General features: G+C 34.9%; 1 protein-coding gene across 27 annotated transcripts in view; it reads right to left on the minus strand.

Annotated features, from left to right (window-relative positions):
• The window catches only part of RUNX1T1 (RUNX1 partner transcriptional co-repressor 1), a 148,419-nt gene that overhangs the window by 16,557 nt on the left and 114,976 nt on the right, over positions 1 to 16,886 (minus strand). For 23 of the 27 annotated variants that reach the window (XM_047422373.1, XM_024447318.2, XM_011517351.3 and 20 more), the window contains 3 exons: positions 15,364 to 15,449; positions 14,601 to 14,802; positions 4,382 to 4,450 (listed from right to left, as the gene is read on the minus strand). In XM_047422373.1, coding sequence (XP_047278329.1) covers positions 4,382 to 4,450; positions 14,601 to 14,802; positions 15,364 to 15,449 — 357 coding nt within the window. Of the gene's footprint in view, positions 1 to 4,381; positions 8,409 to 14,600; positions 14,803 to 15,363; positions 15,450 to 16,886 lie in introns of those variants that run through there. The other 4 variants (XM_047422374.1, XM_017013938.2, XM_047422375.1 and 1 more) reach the window with 2 other exon arrangements.

The following is a 16,886-nucleotide window of genomic DNA, read 5'->3' on the forward strand; positions in this document are numbered from 1 at the left end:
CTTTTAATGAAAAATCAATGCTATAATGGATGATCCAGTTTTACTTTTGAAAAGTCATTTCCTGAGTAATATAAATATGTGCCTTTATAGGTTAAATGATAGAGGTTTTAAAAAATAATCTCATTTTTACATTTTAAGCTGTTGTCCATTTACTTTACCAAATATATACAGTGGTTTTGCATAACCAACTGTTGCACTAGACAAATATAACTGAATCATACCACAGGCCAAAACAATCAGGCCTGACTATGAGTCTGCAAGGTGTCAAATAAGCTCTTTATTTTTGGCTGAGGAAAGGGTGCAAAGATTCAACTAATGTACAACATAAGACTGACAACTAAAACAAGTAATTTCCATTTTAAAAAATTAACTGTTCTAATTAACAGGGGAAAATATCCTCCCCCTGAATTAGTTTATCTAATTTTCATCTTTATTCAAAGCAAAATGACAATGATTAATTGAAAATTTAATAAGCAGTAATTATTAACTTGGCAAACCTAGTACCAATTAACACTCTATTAAAACTAATTATGACATGTTTCATTCAAGTGTTTGCACTTAATTGTTTCACCCACTTAAAAAGCACCTTAATTAAATGTTCTGTTTAATTAAAAACATAGATTCCTAATAAAAATGTTTTACTGTAGATTAAAAATGTAAGAGATGCAAGTACTCCTATTGTTTCTTCAATTCCTCTGGTTTATTTCACACATCTATTGTCCATGACTTGAGAGTCATCAGAAGCTCTCCACTAGTAATTAACTGTCATGACTTTTGTAGCCTCTGTCATTTTAGCAGCATTATATCTGAAGTACATTTCTTTGCAATTACTGTCTGCTAGGTTTTATAAACTAAAATATAAGTAAAAGATCCATAGTGGAAATATTAACTAAATTATATTAAGCCGTTGTTAGCTGCTTTAAGATATGCATTTAAAATCTGTACAGAATCAGAGTATTGCAAACAGCTTATAGCACCTTCTTCACCAGGAGGTGAAAAGATGCCTTTATTATCCTATCATAAATGACTTGGGGCACAAGGGAAGTACTGCCCTTCTAACTATACAGCCAGGGTCTAATTTAGTTTGAATATTCAAGGTGAATTAAAATTCTATCTAAGTGGTAGTACAGAACAATAATTTTTGCTTACGATCAAAGCTGTAGCTTGACTAATTGTATATGCAAATCAGGCAATTTACATTTAAATTATGCATTCCTATTCTAATCCCACAGGCATATACAGATCAGCAAAGAGAATTGGTAGGACATTTGCAAGGTGCTTGAATATTTATTACCAACTGCAAACATTCTCTGATCATGTAAAAAGAAATATACTGAAGAAAACATTGTTACAATTTTAAAACCATCTTTATGTTAGATTTTTTCCAGTTTCATAAAGACCTTTGTAACTTTTGAGTGCATTTGTTACTTTCGCTTTAAAAAATACTACTTTTAGAGGAGAATATGGCCTTGAACAATTTTTTGGATTTCTAATCTTTAAAAATGTGTGTTGTTATGTTATTATATTGTGTTATTGGGGGCAATGTGAAAGATTTGCATAGGGTCTGTAGATTAAATAATAGTCTTCTATCAGTGATAAAGTCTTGATTTGGTAACTGTACTGAAGTTATGTAGAATATTCTTGTTCTTGGTAAACTGACATTCAAATCATTTAAGGTAAAGAGAAATTATGTCTGCAACTTACTCTCAAATGATTAGAAATATATATATATTTAAGAGAAAGAAGAGGATGAAAGGGAGGAAAAGAGAAAATACTAAAGCAAATATGATAAAATAAGGGAATCTAGGTGAAAGTTATAGAGGAATTTTTTGTACTTTTTTTTTGCAACTTTCCTGCATGTTTGAAATCATTTCAAAATAAAATGATGCAAAAAGCTATATGATGTACTTTCAAGCACAGGGTATACTTGTAATTACAATTTTCTGTGAAAGTGGATGCATTTGTTATGCTACATCAAGTTTTGGGTGTTCTGCCCCTTTTGTATTTTTCAAATACTTTATTCACCTATGTTTTGCAACAAAGATAATGTATAATAATTTCATTGCAAAGACACACTTTATAGATTTTCTTCAAAAAATTTTTTTGCCCATAGCCAATTTTAGAAAGCTAGGATAAAAGCTTTCAAATTGTAACAAGCTGAGTGCAGATGTCACATTCTGCCCTTGGTGTTTTCATCATGTTGGATGCCTTGACACTGAACACTAGAAATGCCATTTAAGAAACCTATAAAGATAAATATTATAAGTAGTTACTGGAGATTTCTAGATGAAACTATCATCCATACTTTGTGGATTTAATATACTCCTTAAAATTTAGCATATATCCATAGAAAACTATTCCCAAACTGTTTTTAAGCAGCAGTTTAGGGATACCACTGTGAGAAGAATACAAATTTAATGTCATATTTTAGATTGAAAACCTACTGTAGATGATAGACACTGTAATAAATAATCTAAACACTTCCTAGATAAGGTTTAACCCTTCTTGGAGAGGGCAAGCACACAACAAAAACAAGTAGTGCTCTTTCTCTACTCTCTTAAGTCCCCAAAACCTAAATTACACCCAGAATTAGGTTTAAAAACCCCCAAAACAGACAGTAAAGAAAAATAATAGTGGAGTCAATAGATAACAATATGCCATGTAGGAAAAAATAAACAACTGATTAAGTGGAAAATACATAGTGCAGTTTTGAATCTGCGTCCAATTGCTTACCACTTATGGTAGGACTTCCTTTGTACATAGCTATTCAAGTTGACTTTCCAACAAAGGTGCTATATTCAGAAAAATCTATTCTCACTTAATAGCAGTCAAACAAAGACTTGAGCAGATAATAGCACAAAAAGAATTCGGATTACACAAGACCTTACTGGTAATTTTTCTCTATGAACTATCAAGAATTTAACTTAAATATACTTAAAAAGGGAAGTGCAGAGAAAAGACTCACTCCTCTGAACATAAAGTCACCCTTCTTCTGTCCAAAATCACAATTATTTGTACCTCTTATTGGAATAAGTTGCACTGACAGCTTAGAAATGGAAGAGAAAAATGGTCAGAAGGAAGATGTTGCCCGTCTTTTCAGGTAGGTGGTACTTGGCATATTTTTAACAGCTTGGGAATACTACATGACTATTACAGTAAATCTGGTAAAACTACACAGTTCAGCAACATATGTATTTTAACCTTTAAGCTAAATGGACCTATCTAATTTGCGTATTGGACGTGCAAGACAGCTTTCTAATTCTTAATCTGGGCTACTAAACCTAGAATGCTATCAGATTTTAAAGCTCATTATCACTCTTACAAAAACAGGTATTTCTTGGAAAATGTATAAAAATACTTGGATAAGATACATGTGACTAGAGAGTCAGCAAGTTACACAGAACTACAAACACAGCTGAGTGAAATCCCAAAGAGAAATCTTCTGTAGAAAAAAACAAAAAATCTGTCCCCTGACTCTTCAATTTGCACTGTTTGTAGAAGTAGCATTTCCCAGTTTCCCAACTCAAAAAGACAAACTGTTTTAAGAGCTGGAGTTACAGCAGCTGAAAGCCACAGTATGTTTTTCATGGCCTCTTTAACTCTTGAAACAGGTTTATGTTTCATCTCCTGAGTTGGTTTTCATAAAGGTTTTTGCTTGCTAGGTGGTTCCACCAAAATTCTCACAGATCTGGACTTCTTTAAGCCCAATAACAAGTCAGTGGGTCATGAGGAGCTTTAAATCTACTATTACAAAATATAGAGCAGCATCTTGTAATGGAAAGCAGATAGTGTATATGAAAAGCAAAAATAAATGTTTAGTAACTTTGTCATTTCACTTAAAGAGTAATTTAGCTCTGATCGTTGAATACTAATTAGTACAGAAGAACAACTTTAAAAGTCGATTGTAACCAAAAAATTATCTGAGTACTTTAACAAGTCAACTAGATTTGATGTTGGTTTCGTTTTTTTTTTTTTTGGATGCAGGAGAAAAGGCTGAAGTATGCAATTTAATTTCTAAGACACTGGAATTTTTTCATCAAAGAAAAAAATGCATGCAAGCTAAGACCTCCTATGCCAAGTTTCAGCCTGAAATCATTATGGCCCTGAAAAAAATGGAGTTTTATAATGGAAATATTGCCAGCTTCTCAATTATAGTGAAACTGGCAGATGTTACTAAAATAAAAATGATTTCATCTTGTAATCAGGCCTGGTTTAAGAATATTAATCAGGTGTTTTGTTTAGTGGTTTTTTTTGTTTTGTTTTGTTTTTGCTGTTGTTGTTGTTAGCAGTAAAGTCCTTTCTTGTCATTCCTCACATCACTACATTAACAACTGCACACAGCTGCCAGAACACGAAACTCATGTTTTTAAACAATTCTTACCAGCTTTCTTCCAGATCTCCTCTGGCACGTATCCAGACGCAGGCCTGTGAAGGAATTCCCGATGCGCGTCTATGAAAAGGATGGGAAGGGGGTGGAGAGAGGAGGAGAGTACTGTAAGCACACTTGTGTCATCGCACAGAGTGAAAGTAAGCAATGCCCATTCTCCTGGCTTCTCTACAAAAACGCAATTTTAAAAGGCTAAACATTTCACTTCTTGAAAACACATAAAAATAGCAAGGCCTGTCATCAGAGCCCAAGGAAAACAGAGGGTCATTGGTCTAAATGCCATGCATGCTCAAAGCCAAAGCAACTTGATTTCATTATACAATATGATGTTTGGGAACACTGTTCTCAGCACTTTCTGACTATGGAGACTTCTATAGATATATTTTGTTAAGGAATATAAATTGTATTTGGTAGTTTTCCTTTCATGAGTCAAACTGGTGGTTAAACAATCAAATGTTCAGGTAATGTAATTTCCACAGAGCTCTGATTCTGCCACCTTTCAATGAATAGCAAGCTCCACTCTATGGCTAACCAGTTCTCATACTTAATTCTTAAAAATCTCAGTGACCATTAAAATTTTTCACACAAATTAGATCATATGGATTTGACATACGTGAAAGCCAGAAAGACTCATCAGAATGGATTCACAGACATTCTGTTGAGCAGAGAGAATTAGCCCATGCTTTCCAGAAAAGGAAATGAAGTTCCACTTTAAATTAAATGCTGTGCTTACTAGGCGTCTCAAATTTTAAAAGTTTAAGAAAACAACTAATAACTTTGATATAGGAATGCTAACTTCTAAAATATGTTCATGGAATTAACACAAAACATTTTATAGTTCTTACATATGCTCAAAAGTAAACAAAGTGTATACCGTCTTCCATAGCTAAAATATGCATTTCATGTCTTCCATATTGGATTTTCAATAAAAGCCTCCTTATATAGAAGAGTTCGGTAAGAAAAAAATCATTTTAACTTTTATAAAACTTAATTAATAAGCCCATGATAAATTCTGAGGAAAACTGAAATTTTCTCTATGTGTACAGTAAATGTTGAGTAGCATATATTTTTAAATGCTTTATCTAATGGTTATGTTGAAGATGAAGACATTTAGTCCAGTCTCCTATATTTTATGGTGCTACACAATGTCAAAAATAAAGAAAAGCACGATGAGTTTAGCTAAGTATATGTTGTTACATTTGAATGCTTTAAATACATTTGAATGCTTTGAATTCTTGCAGGGCACACAGATTATCAACTGGCAAGAACATTAGATTTTCTCAACTATTCTGAATTAGCAAAAATTTACTACAGCTTGGTGAGGAATATATGGAAACTATATCATCTTTGCAATTTTTTAATCTAAAATTATTCCAAATATTTAAAAGTTTATTTTCAAAAGTTTACACTGTGATGTCATGACTACTTAATAATAGGATGGACTGGAAATATCTATGCATTCTCCTGTGTATATTCATTTCTATAAAGTAAATGACAAAAATAAAAACGTTTTTACTGAAGTAACTTTCATTCTTAAGGCGAGATAAAACTGCTGCATAAACAACCTAAAAGGAAATGTGATACAGCTAATTAGATTTATCAAGATTATCTTCCTTACCACTATAACTATTTCCAGAAGAAATAAAGTGCAATCAAGTTCATATTTAGCCATGTGACACAGTACAACACAGAGATTTACTTATGACATTAAAAGACAACTTTTAAGGAGAAAAGACTTGGATTTAAGCATAATTTATTGGATAAGAATAAGAACAGATCTGTAAAGTTTGAAGAAAGAAAAAAACGTGACTTCAAAGTAGCAATTTTTTTTTCATTTATTGTGTTAAGAAGAGACCTGTAGTTAATAAAAACTTATTTTTTTCTTTTTTCTTTTTTTGAGACGGAGTCATGCTCATTGCCCAGGCTGGAGTGCAGTGGCACGATCACAGCTCACTGCAACCTGTGCCTCCCAGGTCAAGAGAATCTCCTGCCTCAGCCTCCCGAGTAGCTCGGATTACAGGTGCATGCCACCAAGCCCAGCTAACCTGTATATTTTTAGTAGAGATGGGGTTTCACCATGTTGGCCAGGCTGGTCTCAAACTTCTGACGTCAGGTCACCTGACCTCCCAAAGTGCTGGAATTACAGGTGTGAGCCACCATGCCCAGCCTATAAACATTTTTTTTTTATTAAATAGTCAATCATTATGATAAAGAACAGGAAAGGTAATGTTTAGGTATCCAAAGTCCATGCATGAAAGATGCTAATTACCAGCCCCAGGCAACATAGGCTGAAGAAAGTTAGTTCTAGCACCCAGTGAAGCTAGCTATTGACCATGGAACACTGGGTATGTTAGTTTGTCCATGTCTCAGATGCCTCATCTATAATAAAGTGAGGACAATACTACTATTATTTGAGAGCACTGCTGTGAAGATTGAAGGAAGTACCTCCTATTACATACACATCCTAAACTCCCATTATCTGGTACTTGCTATTATCCTCATTATTATCATTATTATTACTTACTATGTGGTCTAGTAAGAATGGCTATATAATTATTTCCTTTTAAAGTTTATCTTTTCTCTCAATGTTAAAAATCCAAATACCACAAATTTTGAAGAGAACAAAGCCATTGAAGAAGTTTGGATTAAGCAATATACACCAAGTAATTTTTTAAACTCCCAGAATCTATGTCACTTGGAAATAGAAAATATTTCTATAGTTCACAATTCACTGCCTTTGTCCTTGGAAGCAAAATCTTCAAATTTCTTAGATGACACTTTCAAAAATTTTACTTGAGCCTCACCCATGAATGTTTATAACACCCAAATTGACTCAAATATTAACGTGCCAGGCTCAATTGACCTTCCACCTTCTATGGGCTGCACAGGTGTCTTGGGGGTACATATACCACACTGGAAAGTTGTGCAATGTTTCACTTTGGCTATACCTTCCTAAATTTCTCACTGACATACTGCCATGTCCACATAGGCCCAAACTTTAACTGACATAGAAACCCAATAGAAATGCTAAAGCCAATTATGCAAAAGTTTTCTTAATGCTAACCTACCTTCTAAAAGACAGTTTTTCAAAATAGCAGAATCTAAAGGGAAATAATTATATAAACGTGTTTTACAATATCCTCTCCAGTTCTAAGTTAGTGTACTTGATAAACATCAGGTCTACCAACAGAAAGAACAGAGTGATTGGTAGTAGGTATACTCCTCAGAAATCTATTTGATACCTTGATAAACACTACTTTAATAGATTCAGAAACCAAATGACTAATACATTTAATATCTCCTCTTCTGATTAAGCAGCAGCAATATCAAAATCTATATAGGGAAAACTGAGTTTGAAAAACAAAACAAGGGACAATTCTCTCCTAGGACTTTACTATTTTAGAATACTGGCTAATCTAAACACATCTACCTAAAACATCCTAAGATTCTAAGGCTTAGATTCAAAAGAAGCTAATTCTTACCCGTTAACTCTTAAGTACCTATAAAATATCAATTGCTAGAAAAAGGAATCATCATTCTAAAATGTAGTGGTAGATGCAAAGACAGAAGAACGTCTATGATATGGTCTAAAATGTTAAACGTATATATATATGCAACTACTGAAAGATGAAAACATTATAGAAAAGTCCTTCTAAATTAAGTCTAGCTTGCTTTGGGATGCAAATTGCTTGGGGCGGGGGGTGGTGGTGAGAGTGGATGAGGATGAAGGGAGCCTCTTGAAAATAATTCACATCTATGAAGAGAGGAGACCAGGTCAGAGTGACAGAAAATGGTGTAAGAAATGTGAAAGAACAGAAAGAGCAATCTATGATGTATGAAAGAGATGGAAGATGCACTACACTTACGACAGGATGGAGACCATTGGATACTAGATACTGCAAGGGCCGCCATCAATATACATGAAGGGATGAGCTGATAGCCTTTGGAGAAGCAATGTGACCTCATATGACCCAGGACAGCAATGCTCAAAGCTGGGCAGCACCTAGGTATGGCCTTCATCCTGTAGTGGGCAGAATGAGGCTGTGATCATGATAATATCTATTACAAAAACCATCAAAAGAAAGAAAGAGTTAAGTAATTTTATCTTTACAAATGCCACTTGTTTTTAAGGATAATACATTCAGAAATCTTCACACTAGGTTTCAGAAGCCCAAATCCAACCTAGAAGCTAGCAACTGCTTTAGGATTTCCATCTTTTACAACAAACATACTTAATGCTCCAGGAAGTAACCATCTCCTCTTAATTTTAAAAGATGGACATATTTAACTAATAGTCCCATATTTTTAAACCCAATATAGTTAAGTACAGTAGGCATTTGCATTATGAAGTCAGCTGAATGACTGTGAGATTAATTTCATGATGTGATTTAAAGAAATCAATACAAGGGTACAAAACTCCAAACATTTACATGCAAATATACACAGAATAACTTGTTTGTGGTTTTCATATTTTGAGAGTATAGAAGTTGAAATATTTCATTGGCTGGGAGAAATCTATTTTTCCATAGCCTTGTATTATGAATTAGGGTCCCAAAGGTACAACAGATTTACTACATTTAAGACAGGAATCTTTTCTAATCTCTGTGCCTATTAAAGAAGCCACCTGCTTAGAAGTACTTTGTAGATGAAAAAATACTTATGAATCCACTGTAACTTCACAATCTTGAATGCCAAGGAAAAACTTTACTAGTTTCATTTACCACTATTCTTTAAAGTTCTTTTTGATTTTATGTTTTAAATTTTTTAATTTTATATTTTGAGACAAGGTCTTGCTCTGTTGCCCAGGCTGCGGGGCAGTGGCATAAACGTGGCTCACTGTCACTTTGACCTCCTGGGCTCAAGGAATCCTCCCATCTTAGCCTCCTGAGCAACTGGGACCACAGGCATGCACCATCATGCCCAGCTAATTTTTTGATTTTTGGTAGAGATGGGGTCTCACTATGTTTTCCAGGCTGGTCTCAAACTCCTGGACTCAAGGGATCCTCTCACCTCAGCCTCCCAAAGTGCTGGGATTATAGGCATGAGACACTTCTACTCCCAGCAGAAAGTTCTTTTTGAGAATGCACATCTAAATAACAGCTAAGACATAACACTTCTACTATGTGTCAGGCACTGTCTCATATGTTTTTACCTATTAACTCATTATACAGAAATGCTTATGAAATATATATTACCATCCCCATTTTACACGAGGAAACTGAAGCACAAAGAGATTATGACCTGCCAAAGGCCACAAAACTAATATGAAGAGGAATGAGTAATTCGAATCTAGAAATTCTACTGACTGAGTTTGTGCTTTCAGTCTTCATGCTAGATTTCCCGGGGATTTAGAGAGCAATGAGAAATTCCATAATTCAATCATATGACAATCATAAAACTTGCCAGCTAGCAGTATTTTAAAATACTAATTCCTCTACCAACCCACTTGGGACAGGGGATGGTATTAATTCAACAAACTCCTAAGTTACTAAGCTTTTTTTTTTTTTTTTTTTTTTTTTTTTTTGAGGCAGTCTCGCTCTGTCCTCCAGGCTGGAGTACAGTGGCACAATCTTGGCTCACTGCAACCTCCTCCTCCAGGGTTCAAGCAATACTCCGGCCTCAGCCTCCCGAGTAGCTGGGACTACAGGGGTGCACCACCATTATCTGGCTAATTTTTTTTATTTTTAGCATAGACGGGGTTTCACCGTGTTAGCCAGGATGATCTCGATATCCTGACCTCATGATCTGCCCGCCTCGGCCTCCCCAAGTGCTGGGATTACAGGCGTCAGCCAACACTCCTGGCTCTAAGTTTCTTATAAATGCTAAGCTTGATTTTTCATTACACTTAAACAAACAAAACTTTTTGATATTTCTTTCTCTGGCAAATACTAAACTCTTAACAAAACAGAGTGAAGGTATTTTTCTAAATTTACTACCATGTCATCACAATGTTCATACATGTTTTAAAAGCACAGGGAAAGTGCATTTATATTTCAGAGTTTATGTCCAGCCCCTGACATTAGCCCTAAACCTATCATTAGAAAAAAATTTTGGCCAGGTACAGTGGATCACGCCTGTAATCCTAGCACTTTGGGAGGCCGAGGTAGGCAGATCCCTTGAGCTCAGGAGTTCAAAACCAGACTGGGCAATACGGCAAAACCCCACTCCTACAAAAAATACAAAAAAATTAGCTGGGTGTGGTGGTGGTCTACCTGTAGTCCCAATTACTTAGGGGGCTGAGGTGGGAGCCCAGAAGGTCAAGGCTGCAGTGAGCCGAGATTATGCCACCACACTCCACCCTGAGCAACAAAGTGAGACCCTGTCTCAAAAAAAAAAAAAAAAAAAATTAACCCTAACGATGTGGAAGACTTCTAGAAAACAAAAAGAGCGCACACAGATACAAGACAAACTACAGAAAGATTCTAGAATAGTCAAAAGCCAGTAAAAAGGAAAGTAGTTTAAAAGAAATAAAATGTCAGGAGCCAAGAAAGTGATGTGACAACATTCTGAGAGAAAAAGGAACCAAAGACAAAGAAAGGAAAAAGAGCTACTAAGGAGATTCTGACAAGCACTTCGGAAAACATACAAAGTGCTAACCAGCAACTGCCTTTCTATACATATAAAAGTAATTCTACTTCAATGGTCAAATCTGTCAATTCTGATCACATTATCTTGCTCTTCTGTGGAGCATACCATGTAATAAAACTTAAATGTATAAATAAGTCATACTTTGAAAATAGAGACAGCAGTGTTAAAATTTGCTTTCTAATTTTGTTAAGAGTTGGATACTTGGAGTTTTCCCTGGAAAGTAAATGAGTAACAACAGTAAAAACGATAAATATCTATTATTTCAAGAAAATCTATTTTATGAAAAGTCCTTCAAGATGTCAACTTGCATTTTATTTAAAGAATAGAAATACCATTATGAATTCAGTGTATACTCAGTGTTAAAAATTGTTTCAGTCAGAGGTTATTCAAAAAAGAGATTTTAATATCTTAGGAAAATACTTTTTTTTTTTTTTTTTTTTTTTTTTGGAGACAGAGTCTTGCCCTGTCGTCTAGGCTCGAGTGCAATGGCGTGATCTCGGCTCACTGCAACCTCTGCCTCCCAGGTTCAGGTGACTCTCCTGCCTCAGCCTCCCGAGTAGCTGGGATTACAGGCATGCGCCACCATGCCTGGCTAATTTTTTTTTTTTGTATCTTTAGTAGAGAAGGGGTTTCACCATGTTGGCCAGGCTGGTCTCCAACCCCCGACCTCGTGATCCGTCTGCCTCGGCCTCCCAAAGTGCTTGGATTACAGGTGTGAGCCACTGTGCCCAGCCAGGAAAACTCTTAAAATTCAATTAGTAATAGATTAATCGAGTTATTTTACTAACCCCCTATACTCACTCAATACTACAGATATATTTCAAAAGTGAGAATGGGATTGAGTTTAACAGGTACAACACATCAATCATGAAAGTTACATTCTCCCCTGTGCAGTCCCCAAATATAATTTTAAAATGCTAAGAATGTGTGTATGACTAAACGTTCCCAGTGTTTCCAAGTTAGGGATATAAGTAGGGCAATATTTTGAACCAAAGATATCTTCTATAATATATTCTGAAGATCTCATTTGAGACCAGACAGTAGTTTAAGAAGCAAAATAATTAGGCTAAAAGAAATACATACAACTGTGGGATACGGAGATCTAAATGTATATAAAGATATAGACATATCCATATCTTTATCTGCGCACATGCACTCCATTAAACACTTCCCAGTCACAGAAAATAGATTTATCAGCCAATAATCTCCAATCCTTTCATTACACACATCAATCCATTCAACTCCAAAGCCTGGAAGAGGGACTTAGAAAGCACTTAATGTAAATGATTGTGGCCCATAATTACAAACCACCTGTCCTCTTATTTACAGCCATAGCTCAGTCCCAGAAAATAGTACACAAGGCTGCAAGAATCAGCTAGTAAGGATGCACAGTGAAAAAAAACTGTAAAAGCACTACTGGATGCTAAAACTTGCACACTGCAGAGTTCTACACAGATTTTCTCTAAAGTTATGATAGTGTCTTAATGGCAACTTAGGATTCTGTGACAATAAAGAACATAATGTCTTAATGTTGTCTATAAACAAAGAAATTAAATGCTTGTACCCTTTGACTAATACAACCTACAAAAGCTTAAGGCCAAACAAATATCTCAGGTTTAACAAAAATATAAATCCATTGAACATCACTAAAAAATAGTATAGTTTGTATACTTTTAAAAAGGAGTTTTTTTAAACCAAGTTTATTCTTTTGGTTATGTAGCAGGGACAATGAACCTCTCTTCCTGGAGAACATGATATATACCTATATCACCAGAATCTGTGTGTAGTAGTAGTGACTATACACAAAATGGCCCTTGTTCTATGTGCTGATAACTCGCTTAGGTATGAAGTCTGATCAATTTCGGAGATGTTTCTTTTATAGTGGATGGCAGATAATAGCAATCTGGTCAGTTTGGCCGACTGAATTGAGGTAGCTATCCTATGGCTTGAACACTAGCTATTCCCTTGCCTTCTTCCACTAGACCCAAAGGCCCTCAAAGAAAGAAATGAAGACTTTTTCCTTCATTAGAATGCCTAGCACATTGCCTGGCACATAGTAAGTGCTCAATAAATAAGTACTGACTCAATGAATGTGTTCAATAGAATAAGCCAAACTAGATGTTTTAACTCCCTAAGTTTTATTTACTTTAAAGCTCTCAATTTTTGCCTAGACTGGACGGTTATAAATATCCCCTCTGTCCTAAGCAAATCTCTGATGATTAATCAATTTTTGTTCATAATAAGGAAATAAACACAAGATTTTTTTTTCCACTCTGCTCTAAATAGTTTGGCTTCGACCAATATTGGCTCAAACCAAACGTAATTCTGTTTTCGTTGCTTGCCTTAATGTGACCTGACAAATACAATTTTGTTTTTAAAATATGCTTCAGAATAATGCTTGTTAGGTAAATTAACTGCCTTAGACTCTTTCATTATTTAATACTTATGATAATAGGCATTCGGCATTCAGAGATCAGCAGAAATCTACAAACCTAAGTGCATAGGAAACTACACTGGCTGGGAACAAATTGAAAACAGTAATGTGATCAACAGATAATATACTTCAAGTTTTAAACTTTGGATAATCAGCCATGGTACTAATGAGGCCAAAATTATGAACTTAATCTGCACGTTTTGCAGCATGGACAGTAACTTGAGTTAGCAGATGGGTATGGGGCCAACGCATAAGATAATATGAGAGAACAAGAATCCACAGAAATCCACCTTCGTAAGTTTACTCAAAAAGTATTCACACGTAATGGGTGGCAATGTCAATGACAAAACCGTATTATTAATTTAGGTAAAAGTTCACAGGCCACACAAAAATTCTTTCAGGTTGAAGATTTCTTTCAACATATATGGGATTATATTCTATCTGTAACCCCAACAATTCCCAAATATCAATAAGAAATAGTTACATACTAACATTCCATTTCTAAGGCACAACTATATTATGAGTCCTATTATAAAACTAGATAAAACTAGAATTAATATAATCATGATTAAGTAATCTAAGTTAAGATCAAATCACAGGAAGGGTGCTACATCTTTATCATTAATTTTAAAATAGCTGTAGGCAAAATATATAGCTTCTAGGTCTCTCTTCCTGGAGGCGGGGGGTTGAGAAAAAAGTTTAAAATATAAATATATATATATATGATTCAACTAACAAGATTGTCTTACAGGCTGTTTTCTGAATTAATAATTTGAAACATACATCCCCATGTGCAGTGATAACATTGGTATGCAGTGGCAGAATTCACTAGAGACCTTGACGGAAGTGCCTAAGCCCCAGGCCCACTCCCTGAGATTGTTTTTGCTGTTTTGAGGCATTACGAAGGAGCACAAGTTTTAGTTATGCACATGAAAATCTGGTTCAGTGCTGAAACGCTGCCATCAGCTCAATACACTCACCTGGAAAAGGAATTTAAGTTTTGTGGCTATCTCTGTCTATGCCAATCTGCCCAAATTCCTAACAGATAGACAAGACATATTGGAGGATATGTAAATTGTTTATTGTCTTAAAATTCCTTGCATATCCTTTAATTTTAAAAATAAAAATGAAGTCAGCATTAACAGCATAAGAAATATGTGTTTTCGAGATACTCATCTGAAGAAAAGTTACCTAGTGCAACTGGGTCTGGGTTGACGGGACTCTGCTGCCTAGAGTGGCTGCTGCTACTGCCGCCACCTTTTTTTAAGTCCTCGGCGTCACTGTACCGCCGGATCCAGTAATTCAATTCTTCCCGGTCTGCTTCTTGACACCGCCTTAGTACGGTGAGAGATCGCCTTGTTTTTTCTACCATGTCCATTATGCAGTTTAACAGCTATTTGGGAAAGGGGAGAATAGGGAAGAGCATATAAATCATCACAATTAAAGATTTTGCTGAGTAGTGAAACAAACCATTTCAGGACAATGAAGGAAGCAATTTTATCCCTGAAGGTTTCAGTCTAGTATTTTCTATGACTAGATTTGAAATTCAGAGCCAATAGATGGAAAATTCAATGGGAATGAGAAGATAAGTGTTATGAACACGAGTCAGAAGGGAAATTTCACCTGAAGGCATTATAGCCAGTAAATCCACCTCTCCAAATACTAATCCCATTACTTTATAAATTAAATGACCTTTTCACAATAGAACAGTAGCCCACCGATCTGGCTTTGAGAATTCCTTTCCAAGATCTAAACATTTCTCTCAAGTGACTTTCATATCAATTTAGAAATCAAATCCTATATTCTACTTCAGATATTCTCGCTCATTTTTTTTTCAAGGATAGCAGGAAAAACAATGCCTTCAAAGGATCACCAAGCTTTTATTTTATCACATAACCTCACTCCAGTTGTTTTCCAAACATTTTTTAATCCCAAATGATTACTGATGTCTTACATGGTCAAGATGTTTCCACTCTTCTGCCCATTCTCTGTCTGTTAGTCTGTGATCAATCATTTCTTCTTGACGTGTGCCATGCAACCCTACAAAAATAGAGAAGGCTGAATAACCCTAAAGCATTCAGTACACAACCCATAAACACACAGACTCATAGCAAGGACTATGTGGGCAAACTCGATGTAAAAATACGTTTGATTTTGGATGGAGACATGAGTCATATTTAGATTCAGAATTACCTAACAGATTCCTCATAGAATGATAAAATACTAGAACTAGAAGGAATTTTAGAGGTCACCTGGTCAGAAGCCTTTATTTTACACATAAGGAGACAGTTAAGTGACACCAACTCCACAACTAGTTATCCATGCAACACTCTGTAAGTAAAAATATATTCTAACTCTTAATAAATACAAGAAACCACAAGTAGACATTAAGTGGTTTTTAAAGCATTGCTGTCCTGCATTAAAAATAAAGACAGCATAAGTCATTTTACATAGGAAGGGTTATGCTTTCCCAAAACAAGCATGGTAAATTTTTCTACATGTCAGCCTTGTGTAAATGAATACAATCCTAATACATATACCTCCGTGATAAAATTAGACCATGAAGAAAAGGCTTGTATAATATGGAGCTACATATACTCATTCAGTTTACCAAAAATTAAAAAATAAAAGTAAATTGGATATTCTTCAAAAAAAAATTAATATACCAGATATAATTTGACAAATATCATAAATCCAAGTGAACCAACTGAAAATCCTAATTTGAAGTCCATGAAAAAGTAATACATAAGTGTTTACCAAGTGAGCACCAATATTAATTAAGCGGTTAGCTAGGATGCTCATTAAAATAGGAAGTAAATGTGTCTCACTAAAAAGAGAGGCTGAAAGGCTCCGAACAGAGAAATCTGGAAACGTGTTATTCCTCTTACATATTCACTTTATATTCTACTGTATAGGAAAAGCCCCTGGGCTGTGGCATTATTTTGCATTTTAAATGATCAAAACTATTATTTTTGGTTACCAATTTTCAAAATGTTACTCTGAACAGCAAATAGAGTTTCTTATAGTTTGGTTTCTAGATAACTGGGCTTCCTCTCGTGGAACTTATGTATAAAGTTTCTTATAGTTTGGGTTTCTAGATAACTGAGCTATCTCTCTGTGGAACTTATGTAAGAATTAAATGACCATAGGAGTTATAAGACACTGAATTTTACTTTTTGTGAGATTTAAGTGGTTATAAATCCCTTTTTTTAGCTGATTTACACAAATAAAGATGAGTCACATGACTGTTCAGCCAACCACATAAAACGATTTCATTTACAACTGATGGAAGTGAACAAATTTATGATAGCCCCTTCTCAGACTAAATAAAAAGCTAAATATAAGATGCTTTGTACCATTCCTGTCCAATTAGAACATATTCTGAGATATATTTTAAAAGTTAAAATTGTCAATGCCACCTATTGGTAAAAAAGTAAAAGTGCAAATATGTTTTATTAATTTGCATAATATAAAGAC

Source organism: Homo sapiens, chromosome 8, assembly GCF_000001405.40.
Source record: "Homo sapiens chromosome 8, GRCh38.p14 Primary Assembly".
Classification (NCBI taxonomy): domain Eukaryota; kingdom Metazoa; phylum Chordata; class Mammalia; order Primates; family Hominidae; genus Homo; species Homo sapiens.